The sequence below is a fragment of the Homo sapiens genome, chromosome 3 (assembly GCF_000001405.40).
Source record: "Homo sapiens chromosome 3, GRCh38.p14 Primary Assembly".
Lineage (NCBI taxonomy): Eukaryota > Metazoa > Chordata > Mammalia > Primates > Hominidae > Homo > Homo sapiens.
The window spans coordinates 28,336,928-28,360,968 of NC_000003.12; the positions used below are offsets into that span (position 1 = coordinate 28,336,928).

At 35.7% G+C, this 24,041-nt stretch overlaps 2 protein-coding genes across 13 annotated transcripts in view, besides 4 other annotated features; one reads left to right on the forward strand and one right to left on the reverse strand.

Moving 5' to 3' along the window:
* Window positions 1–11,897, reverse strand: part of AZI2 (5-azacytidine induced 2) — a 27,778-nt gene extending 15,881 nt beyond the window's left edge. For 3 of the 9 annotated variants that reach the window (NM_022461.5, NM_001134433.2, NM_001134432.2), the window contains exons 1-4: window positions 11,674–11,897; window positions 3,475–3,695; window positions 1,566–1,688; window positions 1,010–1,109 (exon numbers count right to left, since the gene is read on the reverse strand). In NM_022461.5, the coding sequence (NP_071906.1) occupies window positions 1,010–1,109; window positions 1,566–1,688; window positions 3,475–3,690 (439 nt within the window). In that variant the 5' untranslated portion in view covers window positions 3,691–3,695; window positions 11,674–11,897. Of the gene's footprint in view, window positions 1–1,009; window positions 1,110–1,565; window positions 1,689–3,474; window positions 3,696–4,584; window positions 4,670–10,657 lie in introns of all 9 variants that reach the window. The other 6 variants (XM_011534009.3, XM_011534011.3, XM_011534010.3 and 3 more) reach the window with 4 other exon arrangements.
* Window positions 11,764–11,823: an enhancer, noted in NCBI's record as "active region_19621". NCBI's record gives its function as "activates an Ori minimal core promoter by ATAC-STARR-seq in GM12878 lymphoblastoid cells {active_cell/tissue: GM12878}" and the evidence as "EXISTENCE:reporter gene assay evidence [ECO:0000049][PMID:35858748]".
* ZCWPW2 (zinc finger CW-type and PWWP domain containing 2) overlaps window positions 11,794–24,041 on the forward strand; it is a 177,638-nt gene continuing 165,390 nt past the window's right edge. For all 4 annotated transcript variants that reach the window (NR_136708.2, NM_001040432.4, NM_001324169.2 and 1 more), the window contains exon 1: window positions 11,794–12,276. The gene's annotated coding sequence lies outside the window, so the exon portion shown is untranslated. The remainder of the gene's footprint in view (window positions 12,277–24,041) is intronic.
* Window positions 12,011–12,991: an enhancer, noted in NCBI's record as "NANOG-H3K27ac-H3K4me1 hESC enhancer chr3:28390429-28391409 (GRCh37/hg19 assembly coordinates)". NCBI's record gives its function as "activates a minimal SCP1, AML or CMV promoter by ChIP-STARR-seq in naive H9 embryonic stem cells {active_cell/tissue: H9 hESC(naive)}" and the evidence as "EXISTENCE:reporter gene assay evidence [ECO:0000049][PMID:30033119]".
* Window positions 12,091–12,385: an enhancer, noted in NCBI's record as "tiled region #24; K562 Activating DNase unmatched - State 1:Tss". NCBI's record gives its function as "activates a minimal TATA promoter and a strong SV40 promoter by Sharpr-MPRA in K562 cells {active_cell/tissue: K562}" and the evidence as "EXISTENCE:reporter gene assay evidence [ECO:0000049][PMID:27701403]".
* Window positions 12,424–12,503: an enhancer, noted in NCBI's record as "active region_19622". NCBI's record gives its function as "activates an Ori minimal core promoter by ATAC-STARR-seq in GM12878 lymphoblastoid cells {active_cell/tissue: GM12878}" and the evidence as "EXISTENCE:reporter gene assay evidence [ECO:0000049][PMID:35858748]".

Below are 24,041 nucleotides of genomic sequence, written 5' to 3' on the forward strand. Positions count from 1 at the left end.
ACATTGACTGCAATTCTTAAAAATAGGTTATTCTGGTAAAATGTAGATAATAGAAAAACTAACATAAAACATATATGATCAATAGTTTTTTAAAAACAGTAATTATTAATACTTTCAAATATCTATGCTAAGGAGAATGAGAAATCTAGCAATCTTGTTTTAGAATTTCTAAAGACAACTACACTAAAATAAGCATATGCTAAAATTGCAGACAGATCAATATTCTGCATAAGGTTAAAACAGTGATAAAAATAATAAACTGAATAAACTGAGGCTCAGCTAATCATTCCATCCAGTCCTCTCAGAGGTATGAAGTTTGACCAACAAGCTCAGAGCATGATGTCAAAACAATTTATCCTTAAACATTCCACTGCAGAAACTCAATAAACTGGATACTGCTTTATTCTTTAATTAGCACCTCAGTCTCTCTAGCTACAAAAAGCTCCAACTAGCTATGCTAAGAGATTGCATCTCAATCTCCTATCAGAAGGTCTCTCAGACCTTCTTAGCTTGTCTCATCATAATGAATATTCATGGGAGCAGGCTATTTATCCATATGCCCCAGATCCAACTTTCCACCCCAACATTTCATCTGCACCTTTTAACAACCTTTGGAAAGAAAAAGAAATTGTAACAACTTCACAGCAGTGTGTTTAACTGTGGGCAAGATGTTCAGTAAGAAAGAGAAGCCAGGACAACCAGTGGGCTAGATGATTTCACTTCTACTTCTTGCTTCTGGGCTTCTACTCTTTTCCTCTTCTGCTTCATCACAACCTAGACCTGAATAAAAACCATCACATTTTCTCTAGGAAAAGTGCAATATATAGCTAAGGAAAAGTTAAAGGAAGTTGATATTATGTGAAGGTAGAACAGAGAAATTAACATAAACCTAAAAATTAAAAAATAAGTTAAGGTCTTAGCATATGGATACAGAAAACTGTTGATATTACAAATAAATGGAAAAATATGTTAATTCTGTTAGAATATTTATAACAAGTAACTGGCATACCCTGCTGAGTTTCCACCTCTGTCCTCAGCTGGAGGAGTTCTACTTCTTTAGATTGTAGCTGCTCATTCAATACTTTCAAAGATTCAGAGTTGTCTTTATTCTAGTTAAGTAGGGAAAATGCCAAATTACATTCAATAAAATCTACACGTTGGTATATTGTAATTTTCAGGAAGATACTGAAAAAAACACATTCTTGTCTTTAAAAGCAAGGTGACAAAATGAACTCAGTTTCTCAGAAATGTCTTTTTTTCTTTTCCTAATTTAGGACATCATTATTCACTGGCTTAAAAAAAAAAAAAGACTAAATCTACCATGTCATAGTTTTTCAAAATAAGTCGGTGGTGTTAGATGTATTTAAGTCCTAAACATCATTACATACTAAATATTTTACATAAAAATAAGTTAAAATATTACTAAAATTTCCATTTTGCCTTGAACATGTATACAAAATTTTAATTACTAAATGTAAATATTTAACTTACTTCTAATTTTAAACCTCTTGAAGGAGAAAATTCATTTCCAAAATGCAGATGTCATTCGCTTCAAATCAACTTACCATTTTGTCCAGTTTGCTCTTCAAATTATCTCTATCAATGCAAACCTCTCGATATGCATGATAGGCCTTATTTACTTGTTCTCGTCCCACGGAACTTGTTTCTTCTTCAAATCGAGCTATTAGCTAACGGTATGAAATTAGAAGAGAAAGCTTAAGAGAGTATTCTATAGATAAAAAATAAGTCAGTGTTCTGATGGCTCCATATCTTACTTCAATCGTAATAAGGGGATAAAGCCTGGATTCATTAGGTGAGTATTTCATTTCCACAAATTAATCTTTACATAGAAAGCAAAAATGTGTAGAATATTTTTTGAAGCCTTCTATGCTTTTACATAATCAGTATTTTATAATTCATGGTGTCTGTTTTATAACATTAAATCATCATAATCACAACAGAGTATAGATGTGATACACACTGCTTAGATGTTTTTTAAATTAAAAGTATCTAATTTCTATAATCAGAAAAAGCAGCACCTTAGGGCATACTTGACTTTTTTTTTTTTTCGAGACTGAGTTTCGCTCTCATCACCCAGGCTGGAGTGCAATGGGGCGATCTCAGCTCACTGCAACCTCCGCCTCCCAGGTTTAAGTGATTGTCCTGCCTCAGCTTCCGAGGAGCTGGGAATATAGGTGCACCACCACGCCCTGCTAATTTTTGTATTTTTAGTAGAGACAGGGTTTCACCATGTTGGCCAGTCTGGTCTTGGACTCCTGACTTCAGGCAATCCACCCACCTCGGCCTCCCAAAGGGCTGGAATTACAGGTGTGAGCCACCGTGCCCAGCCAAGGCATACTTGACTTTTTAAGAAATAGATGTGTGTGTTAATTTGTTAAATCCTTTATATTACAGGATAGGAATTAATAGGATTGTTGGTCATGAAGTACAGAAATATTTCCAATGTTAACTATACATAAAATCCCATTTTTCTACTAAACTTTAAAATAAAGCTATGTGCCCCAAAATGTTACCTTCTCTCACTGTATGCCAATATGTTACAAATTTACATAATCAACATTAAAGTAAATATAATTCATATGAATACAAAGAAATTATAATTATTTTACAACCGACTCCTTTTCTCTTACTTCCCACCAAAAATGAATCAAACTCTACCAAGCCCCATCTTCAAGTTTTTTTTATATAGGATAATTCATTTCCTTGGATAATTAATTTATATTACACAGGACAATGCATTCTTTACCCTTTGTGGTAGCTGCTCTTTGTAGGATAAAAATGCTCTTATCTGAGCTGAAAAAATACAAACTAAGCTAAGTTAAAACTTTAAAACTCAAAAATAAAAGGATGACTGAAGAATATTCCTCATACATAAAGCCAAGTAGATTGGTGCTTTATATTGAATCAGCTACCTTACTTATATATTCTGTAACAGTTAGATGTGTCACAATTATACATGGAAAGGTAAACAGAAAACATCAGTTGATCAATTAAAAGCATTATTCCTATTACATGTGTTAAAGAAGAGAAAGAATGTTGAAGTAAAGATTTCAGCCTTGGTAAAGATATTATTAAACCTATTGGACAATGTTCCAGAAGCTTCCTCCTTTGATACTTAATTTCCTTTGTTGGTATATCTTTTTTTTTTTTGCCCAGATTTGAAAATTCTGAATAAAATACATACAGCTATGGAGGTAAGTAAACCTGAAAATGAAAGAAAAATATTTGGAATATAACTCCAAGTTGTTAAATCCTCTCCTACAAATATTTACCAAGTACATGGTATGTGAAACACAGGATAAGTATAATGCCCAGAGTTTTCAGATTAGCAGTGAGTTATTCTTGGAAATTTAGTACAATCATGGAAGACAGGACAAAAAGTATTCAAAATTTCAAGTATTTTGAATTATTCCTTATGTCACAAACGCAATGAAGGTAAAAGATAAAAATTACCTTTTCTTCCAAAAATCTTATTCTCTTCTTTAACAAAGAGTTCTCTTTCTCTGAATCCTTAAGTCGTTTTTTGATGTCTTCATATGCAGTGACAAGAGCAAAATGGGAAGCAACAGATTCATCTCCTGAATATATTGAAACTGGAGTCACTGTATCTCTCTTATGGGCTTTTTCATGATTCAGAATACAGATATCATCTTCTACCAGTGCATCCATGACAACTGTTTAAAAGAAAAAAAATATGAGTGACAAATGTCTCACTGAATAAGTGAAAAGGAAAAAAAGTTATAGTTAAGAATAATGTAAATACTAGGACAATGTTTAAAAACCAGACTGCCTGGGTTGTATTCTAAACTCTACCATTTAGTGTCTGACTTTGGGCAAGTTGCTTAACCTCTATGCCTCAGTTTCCTTATTTATAAAGTACAAGAAATAACAGCAAATACCTCATAGAGTCTTAAGAATATTAAATTATATCTATAAACCACTTAAAACCATAATTATTAGTATGTTCTATAAAAATCTGAAATATCAGTTTCATTAAAACAATCAAAATTTTTTAAAATACTTCATCCCCAAATATATCTTCTCCTAACATTTCCACTTAGATCTATTAGTAGCAAGTTTCATAGCTTCTCAATTTATAAATTTTCAAAAGTTCTTTGAGTATAATTCATTACAACAACATATTAATATTATATTATAGAAGTCTTAATGCATACTCTATCTTTCCATACCAGTAATTGGCTATGTTTGTTGTATATTTAGAATAGAAGACAAATTAATTAACATTTGAGTGTCCAATATGTCCCACTATAATGCACTACATTCTTTTAATATTATCTCTTTTAATTATCTGAACAATTCTATGAAATATGTATCATCTATATTTTATAGGTAGGTCTTAGAAAGTTGAATTAGCCCTGTTAAATCTAGAAGAATGTTAAGCTCTGTGAGGGCAGAAGCTTTGTCTGTTTTGCCCATCATTTGTGTCCCCAACTCATCACTGTGTAGAAGTTGCTCAATAAATATTGATTACTGAATGAAGAGTGGGTAGAGTAGGATTCAAATCAAACTCTGACTCCAAAACCTAAGAGAAGAGCTCGTTACCTTCATTGTTTAACGAAAAACTGACTTGCTCTGAACATCTACTTTTGCTGTTAGGTTCAGCATTACTTCTCTGAGAGTTAGGTTCCTGAAAAACATGATGGAAGGAGAAACTGTGGCTAAAACCTTTTAAGACCTCCTGGGAAAAACAGAATAAGAGGGACTTTAGACCATGCAAGAGAACCTAAAAAGTCCTTTTAAATATTTTTTAGTTTAAAATAAAAAACTAAATATAGCACTCTAAATAAAGATTATCAATTGAATTTCATGTATCTTAGATCAGTAATTATTACTAGAAAGTGAGTTTTTAACTATCCCTTGCTTGAAATAAAATTTGGTTACTTACTAATATCAGTCACTGTTCAAGAACATTATAGATGAAGAAACTGAGGTAGGAGGAATTTAAGTATTTTTTCCAAAGTAACATAGTAAGTGGAGAGTTGAGATGTAAACATAGGCAATTTAACTACAGCCACGTTTCCAACCCGTGTTTCACTATGCCTGCTTTCTTCCAAAATGTCTAATCTCCCTCCTGTGTCAACTAATCCCTTTAACATTTCTTTTGCCTTATTTCAGATCACATGAATACTAACAAAAGGTTTTGTGTTTTTCTGGGTCTGGTCTTATATCATTATATTTTTGCTTTTCTAATTGTACAATTAAAAACTTCCAATTGTCAACTAAAGCAACAGCTGGGAGCATCTAAGCAATTTGTATCTAGAATTATAAGAAAGGCAGGTTAAAATAAATGTGTATACTACAAGTCTTGAGTAGGTAAAACCTGCCATCCAGTCAATCTTCATTAACATCAATTTAACATTTTCTAACCATACAGGACAACTCCCACTCTTAAGGTACAATCTTTCCCAGTTTTTCAATAAAGTCCAAGAACAAGAATAGACTATGCTATCTACAGTATACCAAAAAAGTGGCGGATTCTCAGAACCATAATTACTCATGCTGCTTCTGATGCAAGCTGCATTTTCTCCTAATGATGAAAAGTTTAACTTTTCTTCCTCTAAAAGAGTTTACTTTTCAGTCTCCAGATTCAATGATATTCCAAAATAAGAGCAAACATCATTCCAGTCATGCTACTGCTAGCTGAAACTCTCATTATTTCCTTTCAAAATAAAAGTGCAGGTTATTCTCATATTGCAAACTGAAAGTATGCATATATATCTTCATATAAGACTCTTACACATGCACACACACACACACACACACACACACACACACACACTCCCCTTAAAAGTAGAGCAAGTAAAATAGTCACAGACGGCTAGGTAAGTGGTAGAATGCAGCCTGGTTTAAGGAGAGGTAAAATTGTACCCACAGTAGACATTTGACTTAAATAATTTAATACTCAACCCAATGGGCAGGATTTATTCGATGTGGATTTTTTCTAAAGACAGCTGAAAACAAGAAATAACATAAACTGCTCTGCGAAGTCAAAAACAGATACCCTGCAGTTTGTGTATTTTAAGGATTGGGCTCACGCACTTCTGTTTTACACAAACTTCTAACTAGCTCAGCTGGGATTTACTTGTTCATTTTTATCATGAAACAATCATTTACACAGCAAGGAAAACCCAGAGAGGCAGAGTTGTGCAGAAAAATTATTATTATACCATAAAGGTAGGTAATAAATTTGAAACAACAGAATGTTATGGGGGGTCTGAGGGATGGGGAGAAAAAGTGGTTTTCAAAGAAGATACCACAAAAGAGCAAATGTCTCTTAAGACTGTACTCTCATGTGAAGAGGATGGTTATTTTCATTGTACTGTACTTATTGTACTTACACCTTTACAGTTTGTTAACTTCCAGCAGGGGAACAAGTTCAAAGATCTAAGTGTGGGGAGAAAGGTTGAGAAGAGGAGTGGCAGGAGATGAGATTAAAAAGGCAGGATGGAGACAAACTGAGATGGTCCTTCCTGGTAGAGGCACTGTGGATTTTGGTGCTTATTCTGCTGAATTTTAAAAACACAGGCCTGGACATGATTAAAGGGTGTGAATACTTACAATGTTGATTTTTTTTTTTTAATTCACAACCAGTGAACTACTTAGCATTATGCTAAATGTTTACAAACATTATCCCATTTAATTCTCAAGACTACCCTATGAGGTACAAAATCTTATCAAACTCATCTCACAGATGAGAAAACTGGGACCTGGAAAGGTAAAGAAGCTTAGCTAGGATCACTTAATTAGTATGAACCAGGACTTGGATTTTAGAGCCTGAGCTATTAATATTTTCCCCTCTCCAATGAATCTTTTACAAAATCTTACACTCCTACAAATCTAGGAACCCCTCAGAAGGCTTACAAAAGTACTTTACATGGAAGGGGGTATATTGATACAATAATGTCACATTTTATACAACATGATAGCTAGTCATTTTTAAGACAATATGAGTAGTCAGACTGGTTTACCTATTGATATGCTACCTTTTTATTTATAAATCAAAAGTTGCATATATTATGTAAGAAAACAATGGCATAAAAGGATTTTTCAAGTTTTATACCATTATTCTATATATTTATTCTATACACTATAAACATTACTTAGAATACGCGGAAAAGCAGCATCAAATTGCTTATCTGTCCTAAAAGTTATGTAAGAAATAGCCATATATTAAAACACACAATGTGCTAGCACCACATATATGTATCAACTTTTATTGTTTTAAAATAACTGTCATTTAAATTTGTTATAAAATGGAAAATTAAAATTTTAATTACTATCCCTGCAAAAATTAATATGAAATCACAAGCATGAGAATATTAATACTTATCATATTAGTCTGTACAAACCAGACTTCTGGAGAGTAAAAGCTACAGGTCCAGGGAAAATGAGATCATAGAAAGGAAACAATACAAGGCAGATATCCCATTATATTTATTAATATAATGAAAGGAAAACTGTTAGCAAAGTAAAAAGTAGGCTATGTGTTGCCTTTGGTGTTATTGCTACGCAAGCATCCTTTATAAAATGTATTTCTACAGAGAAGTAAAGGGAGCTGTGGTAATCAGTCTCATAATAAAGATTCAGTTTTAAACACTTTTGTTGCAATGAAATGGCTGTGTGTGTGTATCCAAATCAGCTGGCCCATGAAGTCTGATTTTCTAGATAAATGGTAAAAGTGTAACTGGCTATTATTCTATTTGACAAACTAGACCAAGCTAGTTATATCATTTAACATTTGAAGAAACTTAACATTATACTGAGTCTTATTTATCATAATTTAAATGCTCTTAAAATAATAAATCTTTGTTAGCATTAATCTTTAAAAAATAAGTGCCATGAGCAGAATATTGTTATCAAAAATTAAAATTACCAAAGACTAGATAGTATTTTAAATAGTCTAGCAGAAACTGAACTTTCAAAACTTAACAAACATCAAAACACTGTCCAAAGACAAGCTTAAGTGGACTTCTCTCAGTGATGAAAATCAGTAATAAATGTATTCCACAGGGACATTCCATAAATAAATTTTGCTTTTCCAAGGGCATTCTAAGAAGCTGGAGATGACTGAGGGCAGTGTTTGACAAAGGTGTGGACCACTGCCTTAGAATTCCTCTGCATTCTGTTAAAAAATACTGATTCCTAGCTTCCACTGCAGATCTATGCAAATCAGAATATCTGGGGTGAAAAACTGCAAAGTGCACTCTGAATAAGCACCCAGGTGATTTTAAGTCATATTCCAATTTGAGAACCACTCATCAGAAAGAACAAAGCCAAGCAGTTACCACGTAATTTACAGAATTCCAATTCTTAGTATCCTTGAACATTTGTGGGCACAGTTAGTTCTATGTTATGAATTAGTAAACACCCTTTAGATTTTATTTTTAATATTATAGAAAGTAATTTCACATTCATCATCTCATCACAATATAGTGGGGTGTTAAATAAAGCACATTTATAGGCAAATGTATCTATATGTACTCATGCAAACATTTTATATATTTGGCAATTAAATTTTGTTTCTCCTTAGAGGTTTACTTAAATATAAAAAGCGAATTAGAAAAGATTGAGGTAAACACTATTGACAATTATTTTTGAGAACAATGAAATTTCCAAGAATGATAAAAAAGAAAGGGCACAATTTGTCAGATAAAGTAGGTAGAAATAAGAACAGTACTACCTGAAGCTTGGGGAGAAACACAGGAAAAAAAAGATTCAAACATTATTTATTAGAATTATTTTAGAAGATCTTAAATTTCAGTCTTCATCATGGCAATCAACACCAAGAGAACTCTCAGTTGTTCATATGCTACGTATGTCAAAGTTTGGGATACTAGAAAACATATCTGCTGATATCAGACTGGTCTTTTTTCTAGGAATAAATATGATTATCCTGTCATATTTCATCATCTTTATATCTGCCATTTTCATATTTCATCATCTTTATATCTGCCATTTATTGATCACTTACCATATGCCAGTCACTAGTGCTTTCACATGCATTTTTCTACCACTTAGCTAAGTACTGTTATGAAGAAAGTCTTAGAAAAGTTAAATACCTTACCTATAGCTACACAGCTAATCAGTGGCAAAGGTGAGATGTGAACCTAAGTAAGCTGTCAGAAGTCTATGGTCTTAATACAACATTCAAAGAGGCAATACAAAAGGGATTCTGGTTATCCTAAGAATATGGACAAGGCATAACTATGTCAAAAAGAACACTTTCCCAGGATTCAGAAACACAGATTCTAGTCTAGGATTTGCAACCCTGATTATAGTTTAGTTCGCTTTACCTCTCTAGATCAAAATTTTCCCACCTATACAGAATGATAGGGTTAGACTACATCACTAAGATGCCACCTTACTAAACTGTGAAGGCAAAAGTTTAATACAAATACAGAACAATGGCAACCTAAACAGAGAGAAGGGAATTCACATTTATGCCAGGAACTGCATAAAAGGTATGGTACACACATTATCTCAAGTCCACACCAAACTTGGCAAGAAAGGTATTAGCACCATGATAAATGGGGAAATTGAGGCTCAAAGAGGTGAGGTAAATTCACCTCACCACAGCAGTATGTGACAAAACTGAAGTTTGAATCAAGGCCTATATGGTAGGCTCTTTATTCCATATTGCCTCCTGAAGTAAATCATATTTAGAATTTTCACCACCTTTCTACCTCTGAAAAGTTAGGATATTCCCGAACCTATTTCGTACAATCAGTCAAAATACTATGGAGCAAGGATTAAGTCTTACGAAGACGAACAGACCAATGCTTATTCCCCTTTCTCAATTTGTAAAATAGCCTAACTAGTTTATAAAGAAGGGTCATCAAGTACCTCTTTTCAAAACATCATCTCTTAATCTGTGTACATTAGCAATAAAAAGCCCTGTAATTCAATAAATGTCCAAAAATGTACTCAACATTAGATATACAATATGAAGAAAAACTCCAGTTCCATTTTTATGACTCTTGAGTTATCCAACAAACTGCGTTAGTCCAGAAATCAGTTTGTATTGCACAGATCAAGACTCTTCCAGAGTTAGCATAGGTATGAAGAGCAGTCTACTTCTTTTCATCCCTTTCATACAGTAATACCTCTAATGCAACTAAGCATCTACTATACATTCAATGTTACTGGTGTTATTGAAAATTATTTTCTAACAGTGATAAGGCAACTATACTTGCACTCTGAATATAAGTGCCATAAAAAAGAAAAAGATTGGTTCTATTACTTCATGGATTATAAAAAAAACTTCAGCATTTTACTTAATAATAATGACAAGGTTCTGCATTGGTAATTAATAGTAGCCAAGCGTTTATGGTATACCAAGCAGTGTGCTTCACCTTTTGGAGAAACTATCTCATTTGTTCTTCATAAGCATTCAGTAAATCTATGTAATACCTCTGAGGTTGTAAAGAATCTCCTCAGATTACAGGTGGAGAAATTGAGACATGAAAACATTAGAAAGTAGGGGAGCCAGAAATGAAAATCAGGCAGCTGACTCCAGAGCCAGCATAACTCTTAGAAACTATGCTTTGGTGCCTTAGAGTATGTATTACACCCATTTCAGAGATAAGGAAAATGAAGAAAAAGTTTAGCCTCTTACCCATTGTCAAGTAAATGGAAAAATCAGCATTCAGATACTGGTGTTCTGACCTAATCCAGTGTCATTTCCCATTATGTTATGCTGTCTCTTTAATATTAAAACCTTCTACTTGCGTAAGATGTCTGGCTTACAAACAATATCACATTAAAATTTGGAAATATCCTGTAAAGGATGCACTGTTCTCAATTTACAGATGATGAAATGATCACAAGATTGGGCAATGAGATATGGCGTTTTTAGAGAAATGAAATTCTGCCTTGAGATCTTGCTCAATCCAATTTGAAATTCCAATCTAAAAACCAAAATGTCTTCTACACATAAGGCGCAAGGGTCAATTTTAATTCTGGTACGTCTGTCTTTGATCACCTTAGCAAATTTCCATCACCTCTTGGAGCAACTGATGGTTTGATTTGTACTAGAGTTTTCGTGGGTATTTTATCTCGCTTTCGAGTATTGGGGTTTCTTTTGTGTAGAGGGTGTCAGCCTACCTTGCACGTAGTAGTAGTTACTCAACAAACAGCCGAAGGCTGGAATGAATACCGTATACAGGTTAGACATTGGAGAAACGACGAATACCTGTTAGCCCTCGATCAAGTGCAGGGGGTCGATATTCACCACTCAGATGCCCCAGGGAGTACCGTCCTAGCCAATGTCCCTCTTTTCTTTCCGATAATTTGTATCGGAAAGAAGCATTTAGCAGTCTCAATGAATGAAAAAAAACTGAAGGCGCCCCAGTAAGAGTACGAAAAGAAAAGGAGTAATTAGAGAAGTGAATGACCAAGAAGGGCCTGGACAGCTGGGGGTGAGGGTGACAGGGGAAAGGGTGTGGACAGCTGGGTGTGGGGGTGACTGGGGAAAGGGATGCCCAGGAGTGGGCCGCTCCCTAGTCAAAGGAGGGGGCGCGGGAGGGAGTGAGAAAAAAATGACGTGTCTTTTTGGACCGGCAACAGCTACGGAGGTTGGCCGCGGCATTGCCCGCATCCCTATCCTCCACCCGTCCCTGGCGAGTCACTCACCCAGAAGCCAGGCTACGTAGGGCCGCCCCCAAGGCCGCCGAGTTTCGATTCCTTAGTGTTTGGAAACGGACCGAAAACAAACCGGGTCGCCAGGGGTCACCACGGGCTTCCGGTTTCTTCGAAGACACCGCCGCTTCCACAGCGAAGGGAGCTGCTCCGGGCACGTCGCGGAGGGAGTCCCATTTCTTCTGACTCGGCAGGAGCCCGGGACGTTCTGGAAGGAGGGACGAGCCGAGGCAGGAGGGGCCGGGCCGACGCGAGAGAAGGCCCGTTACCCAGCAATACGCGCGCGAGACCCAGGCCCGCCGTCGGGACCAGCACGGGCCGGAGGGAGGGGAAGCACTCCGGAAAGTGATTGGAAGTGTGGATGAGCTCTCAGCCGGAAAAGGGGCTGCCGCTGTCCGCGGGCTCGGCGCCAGGGACGCGCGAGGAAACCGGAAGTCAGGCCCGAGGGAGCTGGGAGGGCGTTAGCGAAGCCAGGTTCGGTCGTGGGGGTGGGGAAGTGCAGGAGTGGCGCGCGGCGTACTACATGTCCCGTGAGCCTCCGCGGCGGGACGGGGCGGGGCCGCGGGACGCCAGGAGGCGGAGGCGGAGTGGAGTTAGGTAAGAGCGTTACCAGCCGTCTTGTCTGTTGGGCCGAGGTCCCCCTTCAGGGGCGCCCTCTGGTGCGTCTTTTTCACTCAGTGTCCTTTTGGGGGGTCCCCGGGCCGTGTGGTGCGTGCTGGCTCGGCTCAGTAGCGCTGTTACAGGCTTACGAGCTGACGTGGCTGGGAACTGGGAAGTCTGTTAGAAGCCGTTCCTCTGTAGCCTCTGTTTTCTAAACTACTTGCAAGCCCTCAGGCGATCACTTGAGGCACAAGCTCGACGAATTGCGTAGGGGTCTGTAATTATTCACAAACGACACCACGACTTCTAGCACACTGCTCAATTTATGGAATGAGAGACAGGGAGAAGATGCCAGAGTACTGGAGTTGCGCCCGGCTTCCCTGGAGTTGCCACCACCTTGGTTATTTCTAGATGATAGACCGTCCCTAGCTGTGGAGTCACAAGTAGTTGAATTAATTAGTCATTGAAGGTCGCAGCCAGGTGGAACCCCTGTAACTCTAAGGTATTATTGGTTAAATAAACAAATAAACAAGGAACAATAATTATAGAAAATTTAACGTCACTAACCGCCGATTAGCAATACGGACATTACTCACCACCCCCTTAAAGTAGTATTTTGTCATCTGTCCGCTTAACTATCAGCCCAACTGTCAGCCCAATAGGATGGATTTCACTCAAGGGTTTATATGAAAATTCGTTTTTATTGTTGTTGGTTTTTTTATTGTCTTTTTTGGTTTAGATTTAAGTGAAAATTTATAGCTGTTAGGAACAAAGACCACAAGTTGAAGTTTTATGACATTTCTAAAAATACTTAGAAATCTGTGTTAATGTTATCGTTGAGAAAGGAAACGATTTGCTTCAATTTACTGGGCTGGAGAATGGAAGAGAGCAGTGTTTTTAATATTTTGAGCAAGTATCAGTCCTTAAATTTTTTTATTGCTTCCATGATGCATTTTGAGAATTTTCAATTTAAAACAACCATTAGGTGTATGTTTTTACAAGTAGAGTTTTGAAGAATGCTAGCAAAATTGGTTGAGGCATCACAAGTTATTAGAAATAAAGTGGTAACCTGGTTTTTAATTTGAAGGTGTAGAAATATTTTTGAATCTTCGTTCACAATTTAAAATAATTTAAGAATTGTTGAAAAGGCAGGGGACATCATTTTTATCTTTTCTTTCTGAGTAAGTAAAGATAAAATGTCATAAATCAGTATTTTGAAGTTTATCTGGTGAGAGAGTCAATTTTTGTTTCACAGTGCACACTACACAGTGGGTTTATTAACATATAATGGGTTTATTAAGAAATGTATTTGCTTAACCAGGATGTACAAATTTTATTATTTTAGTCAAGTAAAACATCTTAGTTTTTCTTTTTGGGTTGTAGAACCCCTGCTAGATTATGACAAAATATAATCCGTATAGTCATTGGATTTAGCTGCAAATGGTCACTTTCCACCCTGTATCTGCTTCAATTAACTTTCTCAAATAAAATAAATTGTTAGAGAAAACTTGTTACACAGTTCATATATAATCATGTATTAAAGGTTTATTATCAGGGAAAGACCTCTGATAAGTTAATTAAAAGATACAGTCTTGATAAGGACATTTTATAGGAAAAGAGAATGGTTAGATAATTGTTAAGCTCTAAGAAAGAAAAGAATTTAGGGGTCCTGAATGATAATCTTAACTGATAGCCAACTAGTTCAGTGAGTGGTTGGTTTTCCAGAGCATCTTGATTCCATTGAAATTTATTGGAACTTTGCTTAGGGATTTTTTTCAGGAATTTTCATATTTTCCCAAGAGGGAGTTGTGAATTACATCATCTAAAAAGCTGTGTCCAAGGCCAAGTTTGGGACAGTTTCTTTTCTTTTAAACCATTACATTTTTTGTAGCTACAAATTTAATCTGAAATTTTCAAAACAAGTCACTGCTTTAAAAATATATATATATTTTTTAGAATGGCTGTTTTGGACTGAATTGAACACTCTTGACACCAGGCACTTTAAAAATTGTCCTGTCTACATGTTGTCGCTCATTATATAAAAAATATATATATATACATATATATATTACAAAAGCTCCTTCTCCACTTTTTTCCACCCCCTACACCAATTCCAAGATCTAGATGTTCTCCCATCAGGGAAAGGGCTCCTGAAGGACATGATACTGGCCGAGACTGGGTTCCCTTTTTCACTGAATTAGCTTGGACTTCAAAGCAATATCTTAACAAAGAATATGGGCCCTAGTACAACTTCTGACTGTAGCTTAGCCTTTTTACTTATTTTTAGGTAATAAGGTGCATTTTTAGAGCTTCAAATCTTAGGCAACATGTAAAAATAATGAAAAACCTTTTTTTTTCTTAAATGAGGACTTTGTCTATATCTGAGCTGTGAAGAATATTTACAGTAAAAAGAAACAGTAAGTGCAATTTTTAAGAAAATTTTTTAAGTGAATTTCTGATTAGTGATTTAAATTGTATATTTAATTTGATTAATGTCATATTACCTCAGGGGTCATATTTTTTGTTTCTTTGTTGTATATTCTGAGGACTGTGCTTTGGTGCACCCGAGATAGATGTGGCTCTTGATTGTCAGAGGAAGAAGACTTAATATGTCAATACCACTAAATTGAAATGGCAGTGTCTGTCTTTTCATGTTCATATCAGCTTCAGTGTCATTCCATCGGTGTTGTTTCAGAAACTTCTTCCTCTGTTTTCCTGACATATCACATGTTCAGGTTACTATCTTTAGGGTATGAGAATAGTTTTAGTGGCAAGGATAAAAATGATTTCAAGAATACTACCCAAAATAAAACCTGGTATTTGGGCATACACAGTTGTCTTCCCTGTTTTCCCTGTACTTTCTCCTTCCCCCGTCTCCTTTGTCTCCTTACCCCTCCTTTCCCTCTATCTCAGATGTATGCACACACACACACACACACACACACACACACACACACACACGAGAGAGAATTATGTATGCCTTGCAGTGCATGACTTCTGTTAAACTGTGTGTATCCAAACCTGTGTGCATCTTAAACCGGCAGTCTCTGAACTGGGCAACATACATCCTTTACCCTTAACCTTGAGAGGAACATAAAGGCTTTCCCGGGGGGGTTATATAGTTAAGGATAGTTTAAGAGTATTAATTCTCAGGTTGTCAACTTGCATGTATTCATTCCTAAGATTGATCTTCCTCAGAGTGTACTGAACTAGACATCTTTTTGCTTTCCTCTTTAGCAGTTGTCCCTCTCTCACTGACAAATATGGGGATACCTTATCTGACCTAAATCTTGATAGTGGTGTTTAGAAAGTAAATGACTGTGATGAATGAGTAGTTAACTCTTTGGCAAAATTGGTGAGTTACAGTTGCTTTAGAAAATAATTGCAGAAGGACCAAATTGACTTATCAGTTGATCATTAAAAATAATTTTTGAAGCATACCCATGTGTGATTTTTGGTATATAACTTATGAGTTCACACAAATGATTATTGCTATAACCAGAAATCGTTACACTTGCAAATGTTTGGAATGGAAGAATAAAACATATAAAAATAGAATTAACCTGAATTCTGTTTCTTTCTAGCAATAAGTAATATTTATTTTTGGGTATATGGCCTAATGAGGGAGGGGGCAGAAGGTCCTGTCCATTTTTTTTATGACATGCATTTCCAATAAAAGCTTTTTATATTTTATAGGCCAGGCACAGTGGCTCATGCCTGTGATCCCAGCACTTTGGGAGGCTGAGATGGGCCAATCACCTAAGGTCAGGAGTTAAAGACCAGCCTGGACAACATGGCAAAACTCCATCTCTACTAAAATACAAAAATTATCCAGACATGGTGGCTCACTCCTGTAGTCCCAGCCACCTGGGGAGGCTCAGGCACGAGAATTGCTTGAACTCAGGAGGCAGAGGCCACAGTGAACTGAGATTGCACCACTGCACTCCGGCCTGGGTGACAGACCAAGACTCCGTCTCAAAAAAAAAAAAATCCTTTATATATTTTATGATAATTATAATTTGTTATATGTTTAATACTCATCAAAAGTGTTCTAGTCATTTAATGAGGTCACAGTATTAGAATTTATGTTCTTGGAAATTTTAAAATTTACTTTTTTTATTGTAGGGAAGTATGATAGGGTGATCAATTTAAAATATTTTGAAACACTAAAATATATTATGTTGGGATAAGCTAATGTGGAGGAAGTGAGATGGAAATATGAATTCAAGGAAAAGAGGCATGATATCCAGTTCCCAGCTGCTAAAGGAGAGCTTGTTCATGTAATTTTCAAAAAGATGCATGATGGTAGATTTTAAATTACCATGGCATTTACATTTCATTTATAAAAGAAATTATGACTTTGACTCCAGCAGAAAGTTGTGTCCTAGACATACAATCTGTGCTTCGCTAAGAACTTTTTGACTTAAAAATGTTTGCATTCAATAGGAATTGTTTGCTGACAGAGGTTTTTTTTTCTTTTTCCAAAATAAAACATGAGTGCCATAATTGTCTGCACAATGATAAAATGCAGTGATTTTTCTGGCAGAAACATGGTGAAGAAAAATTAATGGTCCTAGAAAGCCTTTGACATGAACAATCATAGGGAGAAGAAATGTGAGACCAACCAACAGGAGAACAGCAACAGAGGAGGTTGGTAGATTGTAAGAGAAGACTCAGTGGAGGGAATCCTATACTTCTTATTAAATGAAGTAAGAGAAATGCTCGTCTGAGGCTTTGCAGTTATACTCTTTTGCTAATTGAGATATGAATTTGTTCATTTATTCAATATTTGACAAATTATTGAGCACCTATCATGTGCCAGACGCTGTTTTAGGCACTGGGATGAAATAGGCAAAATGGCTTTTTTAAAGTACAAGGAGGTAAAACGTATTAGAGAAGCCAGTCACATTGACAAAGAGCTGTGTGAAATTTAACAACATGATAAGAAATTCCCTTTCATGGGGATATCACCACCGATCCCACAGAGATACAAACTATCATCAGAGAATATTATAAACACCTTTAGGCAAATAAACTAGAAAATCTAGAAGAAATGGATAAATTCCTGGACACATACACCCTCCCAAGACTAAACCAGGAAGAAGTTGAATCCCTGAATAGACCAATAACAGGCTCTGAAATTGAGGCAATAAAGAGCCTACCAATGAACAAAAAGTCTAGGACCAGACGGATTCACAGCCAAATTCTACCAGAGGTACAAAGAGGAGCTGGTACCATTCCTTCTGAAACTATTCCAATCAATAGAAAAAGAGGGAATCCTCCCTAACTCATTTTATGAGGCCAGCATCATCCTGATACCAAAGTGTGGCAGAGACACAACAAAAAAAGAGAATTTTAGACCAATATCCCTGATGAACATTGATGCAAAAATCCTCAATAAAATACTGGCAAACCGAATCCAGCAGCACATCAAAAAGCTTATCCACCATGATCAAGTGGGCTTCATCCCTAGGATGCAAGGCTGGTTCAACATATGAAAATCAATAAACATAATCCAGCATATAAACAGAACCAACGACGAAAACCATATGATTATCTCAATAGATGCAGAAAGGCCTTTGACAAAATTCAACAACCCTTCATGCTAAAAACTCTCAATAAATTAGGTATTCATAGGATGTATCTCAAAATAATAAGAGCTATCTATGACAAACCCACAGCCAATATTATACTGAATGGACAAAAACTGGAAGCATTCCCTGTGAAAACTGGCACAAGACAGGGATCCCCTCTCTCACCACTCCTAATCAACATAGTGTTGGAAGTTCTGGCCAGGGTAATCAGGCAGGAGAAGGAAATAAAGGGTATTCAATTAGGAAAAGAGGAAGTCAAATTATCCCTGTTTGCAGATGACATGATTGTATATCTAGAAAACCCTATCGTCTCAGCCCAAAATCTCCTTAAGCTGATAGGCAACTTCAGCAAAGTCTCAGGACGCAAAATCAATGTGCAAAAATCACAAGCATTCTTATACACCAATAACAGACAAACAGTCAAATCATGAGTGAACTCCCATTCACAATTGCTTCAAAGAGAATAAAATACCTAGGAATCCAACTTACAAGGAATGTGAAGGACCTCTTCAAGGAGAATTACAAACCACTGCTCAACAAAATAAAAGAGGACGCAAATAAATGGAGGAACATTCCATGCTCATGGATAGGAAGAATCAATATTGTGAAAATGGCCATACTGCCCAAGGTAATTTATAGATTCAATGTCATCCCCATCAAGCTACTAATGACTTTCTTCACAGAATTGGAAAAAACTACTTTAAAGTTCATATGGAACCAAGAAAGAGCCCGCATTGCCAAGTCCATCCTAAGCCAAAAGAACAAAGCTGGAGGCATCACACTACCTGACTTCAAACTATACTGCAAGGCTACAGTAACCAAAATAGCATGGTACTGGTACCAAAACAGAGATGTAGACCAATGGAACAGAACAGAGCCTTCAGAAATAATACCACACATCTACAACCATCTGATCTTTGACAAACCTGACAGAAACAAGCAATGAGGAAAGGATTCCCTATTTAATAAATGGTGCTGGGAAAAGTGGCTAGCCATATGTAAAAGCTGAAACTGGATCCCTTCCTTACACCTTGTACAAAAATTAATTCAAGATGGATTAAAGGTTTAAATGTCAGTCCTAAAACCATAAAAACCCTAGAAGAAAACCTAGGCAATACCATTCAGGACATAGGCATGGGCAAGGACTTCATGTCTAAAACACCAAAAGCAATGGCAACAAAAGCCAGAATTGACAAATGGAATCTAATTAAACTAAAGAGCTTCTGCACAGCAAAAGAAACTACCATCACAGTGAATGGGAGAAACCTACAGAATGGGAGAAAATTTTTGCAATCTACTCATCTGACAAAGGGCTAATATCCAGAATCGACGAAGAACTTAAACAAATTTACAAGAAAAAATCAAACAACCTCATCAAAAAGTGGGCAAAGGATATGAACAGACACTTCTCAAAAGAAGACGTTTATGCAGCCAAAGGACACATGGAAAAATGCTCATCATCACTGGCCATCAGAGAAATGCAAATCACAACCACAATGAGACACCATCTCACACCAGTTAGAATGGCAGTCATTAAATAAAGTCAGGAAACAGCAGGTGCTGGAGAGGATGTGGAGCAATAGGAACACTTTTACACTGTTGGTGGGACTGTAAACTAGTTCAACTGCTGTGGAAGACAGTGTGGCAATTCCTCAAGGATCTAGAAGTAGAAATACTATTTGATCCAGCCATCCCATTACTGGGTATATACCGAAAGGATTATAAATCATGCTACTCTAAAGACACATGCACACATATGTTTGTTGCGGCACTATTCACGATAGCAAAGACTTGGAACTAACCCAAATGTCCATCAGTGATAAACTGGATGAAGAAAATGTGTTACATATACAACATGGAATACTATGCAGACATAAAAAATGATGAGTTCATGTCCTTTGTAGGGACATGGATGAAGCTGGAAACCATCATTCTCAGCAAACTCTCGCAAGGACAGTAAACCAAACACCGCATGTTCTCACTCATAGGTGGGAATTGAACAATGAGAACACTTGGACACAGGGTAGGGAACACTACACACCAGGGCCTGTCGTGGGGTGGGAGAAGGGGGGAAGGATAGCATTAGGAGATATACCTAATATAAATGACGAGTTAATGGGTGCAGCACACCAACATGGCATATGTATACATATGTAACAAACCTGCACGTTGTGCACATGTACCCTAGAACTTAAAGTATAATTGAAAAAAAAGAAAAAAATAAATTCCCTTTCATTTATTTTTTGCCAATAGTTTCTATATGTGCCTATAAAGAAAAAAAAATCCATTTTTTCCTACTTAAAATGGGAAGAGAAGAATAATTCTGTTTTGAGGCTTTCATTTACATTATAAAAACCAGGAAGACAAAGCAATTATTCAGAGGAGAGCCATTTTATAAAGCTACGAATAAATAATAATGAAAGGATGACATTAAAGTTCATTAAGATCTATAGAAGGAAGTTAAGCTACATTTTTCAAATACGTTGTGTAGCAAAGGAGAAGGAAAACGTCCAAACTCACAACTCACAAAATACAGAAGTGAAATTTTTGATTTGGTGTGATGGTTAATTTTATGTGTCAACTTGAATGTGTGCCGTGGGCTGCCCATGTATTTGGTTAAACATTATTTTTGGGATGTCTTTGAGTGTCTTTAGATAAGATTAGCATTTGAATAGTAGATGGAGTAAAGCAGATTGCTCTCCACATTGTGAGTGGGCAGCATCATCCAATCCACTGAGGGCCTGACTAGAACCAAAGGTAGACAAAGGGAGAATTCGTGCTCTCTCTGCTTGAATATTTGATCTGGGACGTAAGTTTTCTGCCTGTGGACTAGAATTTATAGCATTGGCTCTTCTGTTTTGCAAGCCTTTGGACTTATACTGAATTATACCACTGACTCTCCTCGTTCTCTAGCTTATATATGACAGATCATGGGAGTTTACCTCCATAATTGCATAGGCCAATTATATATACATATAATATATAGTTGGTATATTTTATATATATATATATATATATATCTCCATACATATATATCTGTGCATCCTATTGGTTCTGTTTCTCTACAGAACCCTGACAATATACTTTGTAGTAATTACAAAATTAGATATGGTTTCCTAGAGTGAAGACAAAGACTTTGAATTGCCTATGAATCAGTACTCAAGTGATTCTTAAGTCTCCCTCAAAAATGTGTTATTTATTCACTGAAATTACCTTATTAATTATTTACTCTTGGTAGTCATTCTATATCATTCCCTTTTGGCTTTAGTAATCACTTCCCTCATCCCACAGTCAAATCTGTTCACCTAGTTTTATGGGTTTTACTCCTTAGCTGTCTGAACTATTGCAATAGTTTTCGTTTAAAAATTTTTTTCTTCCAACACATTCTTTATATTCATTTCAAAGTGATCTTTAAAAACTGTAAATGTTATCATTATACTTCTCTTAAATTCCTGAAATGACTCCTTAACATTTTTTAAAAGGACCTTCTTAATATAGCCGAGCCTCTTTCTCCACCAGCTCTTATAAATACTGCCAACGTAGGCACTGAAATTGGATATCTTTACACACTTAAAAGATTTTCATTCAAGTGACTCTGATTATTCTTTTACAGTATTTAATGTCTTGGATTATCATTGATATTATAAAAATAATTGTCAAATTCTCAGAGAATTGGGGAACCCCAGGAAAATTCTCTAACATCAGTTTGAAAATTATGAATCTGGTTCTCACATGTTTGTCCTAGATGAAAACATATTTTCAAGGGAATCTTATATGTCTGGATAAGGAATTTTACTAGAATACATTGAGTCTTAAATTTATTTGGAATATGTACCAATAAAGCATCATCACTTTTTCAACATCAAGTGTTGTGTAGTAGAATTCAAAGCGACACATTCCCTTTGTACTTGAAATAAAAAGGTTTTTCTCCATAGACCATCCAAAACTAAGAATCCTCTGAAATCTTCGTAGTAGATTAGATTGCTATCTGAATATTATGGTCAGAAGTTGGAGGAGGAATTTATATCTCATTTTACCCCCCCCAACAATCCTTTTTCTGAAATAATTCAAATTTTCTGTTTGAAAATTGTTTTGTTTTCCTAACAATTTAATTTATTTATTGTCTGAAGTGAGATAATGTGTACAAATAGCTGTGCTAGATAACAAGTTTAAAGATCAGAGAAAAGACTGAAAACTATTACTTCCCAGAAATACTTAACTGTACATTGAGAAAGTCATTGATATGTTGAATCTAGTAACTGAGGTGATGGCTCAAAATTAAGTAATTGAGTTTTAGAAGCCAGATTATCCTTTACTTGTATTTTTAAGTTTGATTCTTAATACTGTATTGGATGAAAGTGGAAATGGTCAGATCTGCCACCCAAATTGTTGTGTATTTTAAATTCAGGATTTATTAGTAACAGAAATAGGATTTAAAATTATTTGTAGCATTTACATTTGTGAAAAATATAACTGTTTTTTGACAATAAGTATTGTATTCATTAAGTTTGAACATTTTTCTATTTTGGTCAATATTTTCTTATGAAGGTACAAAACACAGTATAAAGAGTCTAAGACAATTAAAATTTGTTCTATGCAACGAAGCAGAAGACAACTAGGATTTTCTAGTAGAGCTAACTTACTTGACAAAAATAGGCATGAGAGTGTCTTTGATTTCATGGATAAAAATAATAGCTTGAGTTGAAGAAAAGAGAAAAAGGCCTAGAGAAAAATATGTATCTTGGCATTAAATGAATTATCAGAATACTTCGTAATCCTGACTTTGTAAATATAAATTAGCAACAAAAAAAGTTTGAAAGTTTGTAAATGATTTTCATCCTTACAAAAAACTGTAGAACAAGTTATTCATTGCTTTTTAGGAGAGAAAAAACTATAGCGCAATCAGGAAATCATCAACTATAAAATGTAGCATTAGGCATATTTATGAGATACGTTCATGAAACATTCCCTTATGTAAGAGGTAATTAAAGATAGTGTCTTTTTTTCCCCCTACACATTGTAGATTATGATCGTCCCATCTTCTCTTGGCTAAACTTTTGAAACCTTAAATATTGATTATAATTCATAATTTCATTTGGTCACTTCTCATGTTTTAATAAGAAATTTTAGGAAAAATTAGAAATCATTGAAATTTATTTGTTTTGCTAACAGGATGATATGTTTAAAACCAAATATATCAATAATTACATTAAATATAAGTAGACTACTCGAAACAAAGATGTCACTTTGGATTAAGAAAAATCATTGTGTACTGATTATAAGAGATGCATGGGAAAGAGTGAAGGAACAGAAAATATTAATAATGTATACATTAATGTAGCTTGGTATAATTATAGTAAGATGAAACAAAGCAGACTTTCAGGAAGAAAAGTATTACTTCCTCCAGAAGACAAAACAATTCTGGCCGGGCGCGGTGGCTCACGCCTGTAATTCCAGCACTTTGGGAGGCAAAGGCAGGTGGATCACGAGATCAGAAGATCGAGACCATCCTGGCTAACTCGGTGAAACCCCGTCTCTACTAAAAATACAAAAAAAAAAAAAAAAAAAAAAAAATAGCCAGGCATGGTGGCGGGTGCCTGTAGTTCCAGCTACTTGGGAGGCTGAGGCAAGAGAATGGCATCAACCCAGGAGGCGGAGCTTGCAGTGAGTCGAGATTGCACCACGGCACTCCAGCCTGGGTGACAGAGCAAGACTTTGTCTGAAAAAAAAAAAAAAAATTCTGTTTGTATGCATCTAAAGAAACAGCCTCATAAGAAATGAAGTAAAAATTGATGAAACCAAGGGGCAAATCTAAAAGTAGATTTTAATATACATCCCTCAGTAACTGATAGAATTAAACAGGAAAATAATGCATTAAAAAAAGAGATAACTGGATTTAAAATGATTTACATCACAGCCACTAGGATGGCTATTATCAAAAAAACAAAAACAAAAACAGAAAATAACTATCCTAAAACTCATATGGCATGTCAAGGGACCTTGAAAAGAAAAAAAAGCAGGAAGACTCCTACATTCTGATTTCAAAAATTACTACCAAGCTACGTTAATCAAAACAGTATGGTACTGGCATAAAGATAGACATATAAACCAATAAAATTAGAATAAAGGGCCCAGGAAAGTTATTTATGTTTCATATGCACCTAACAC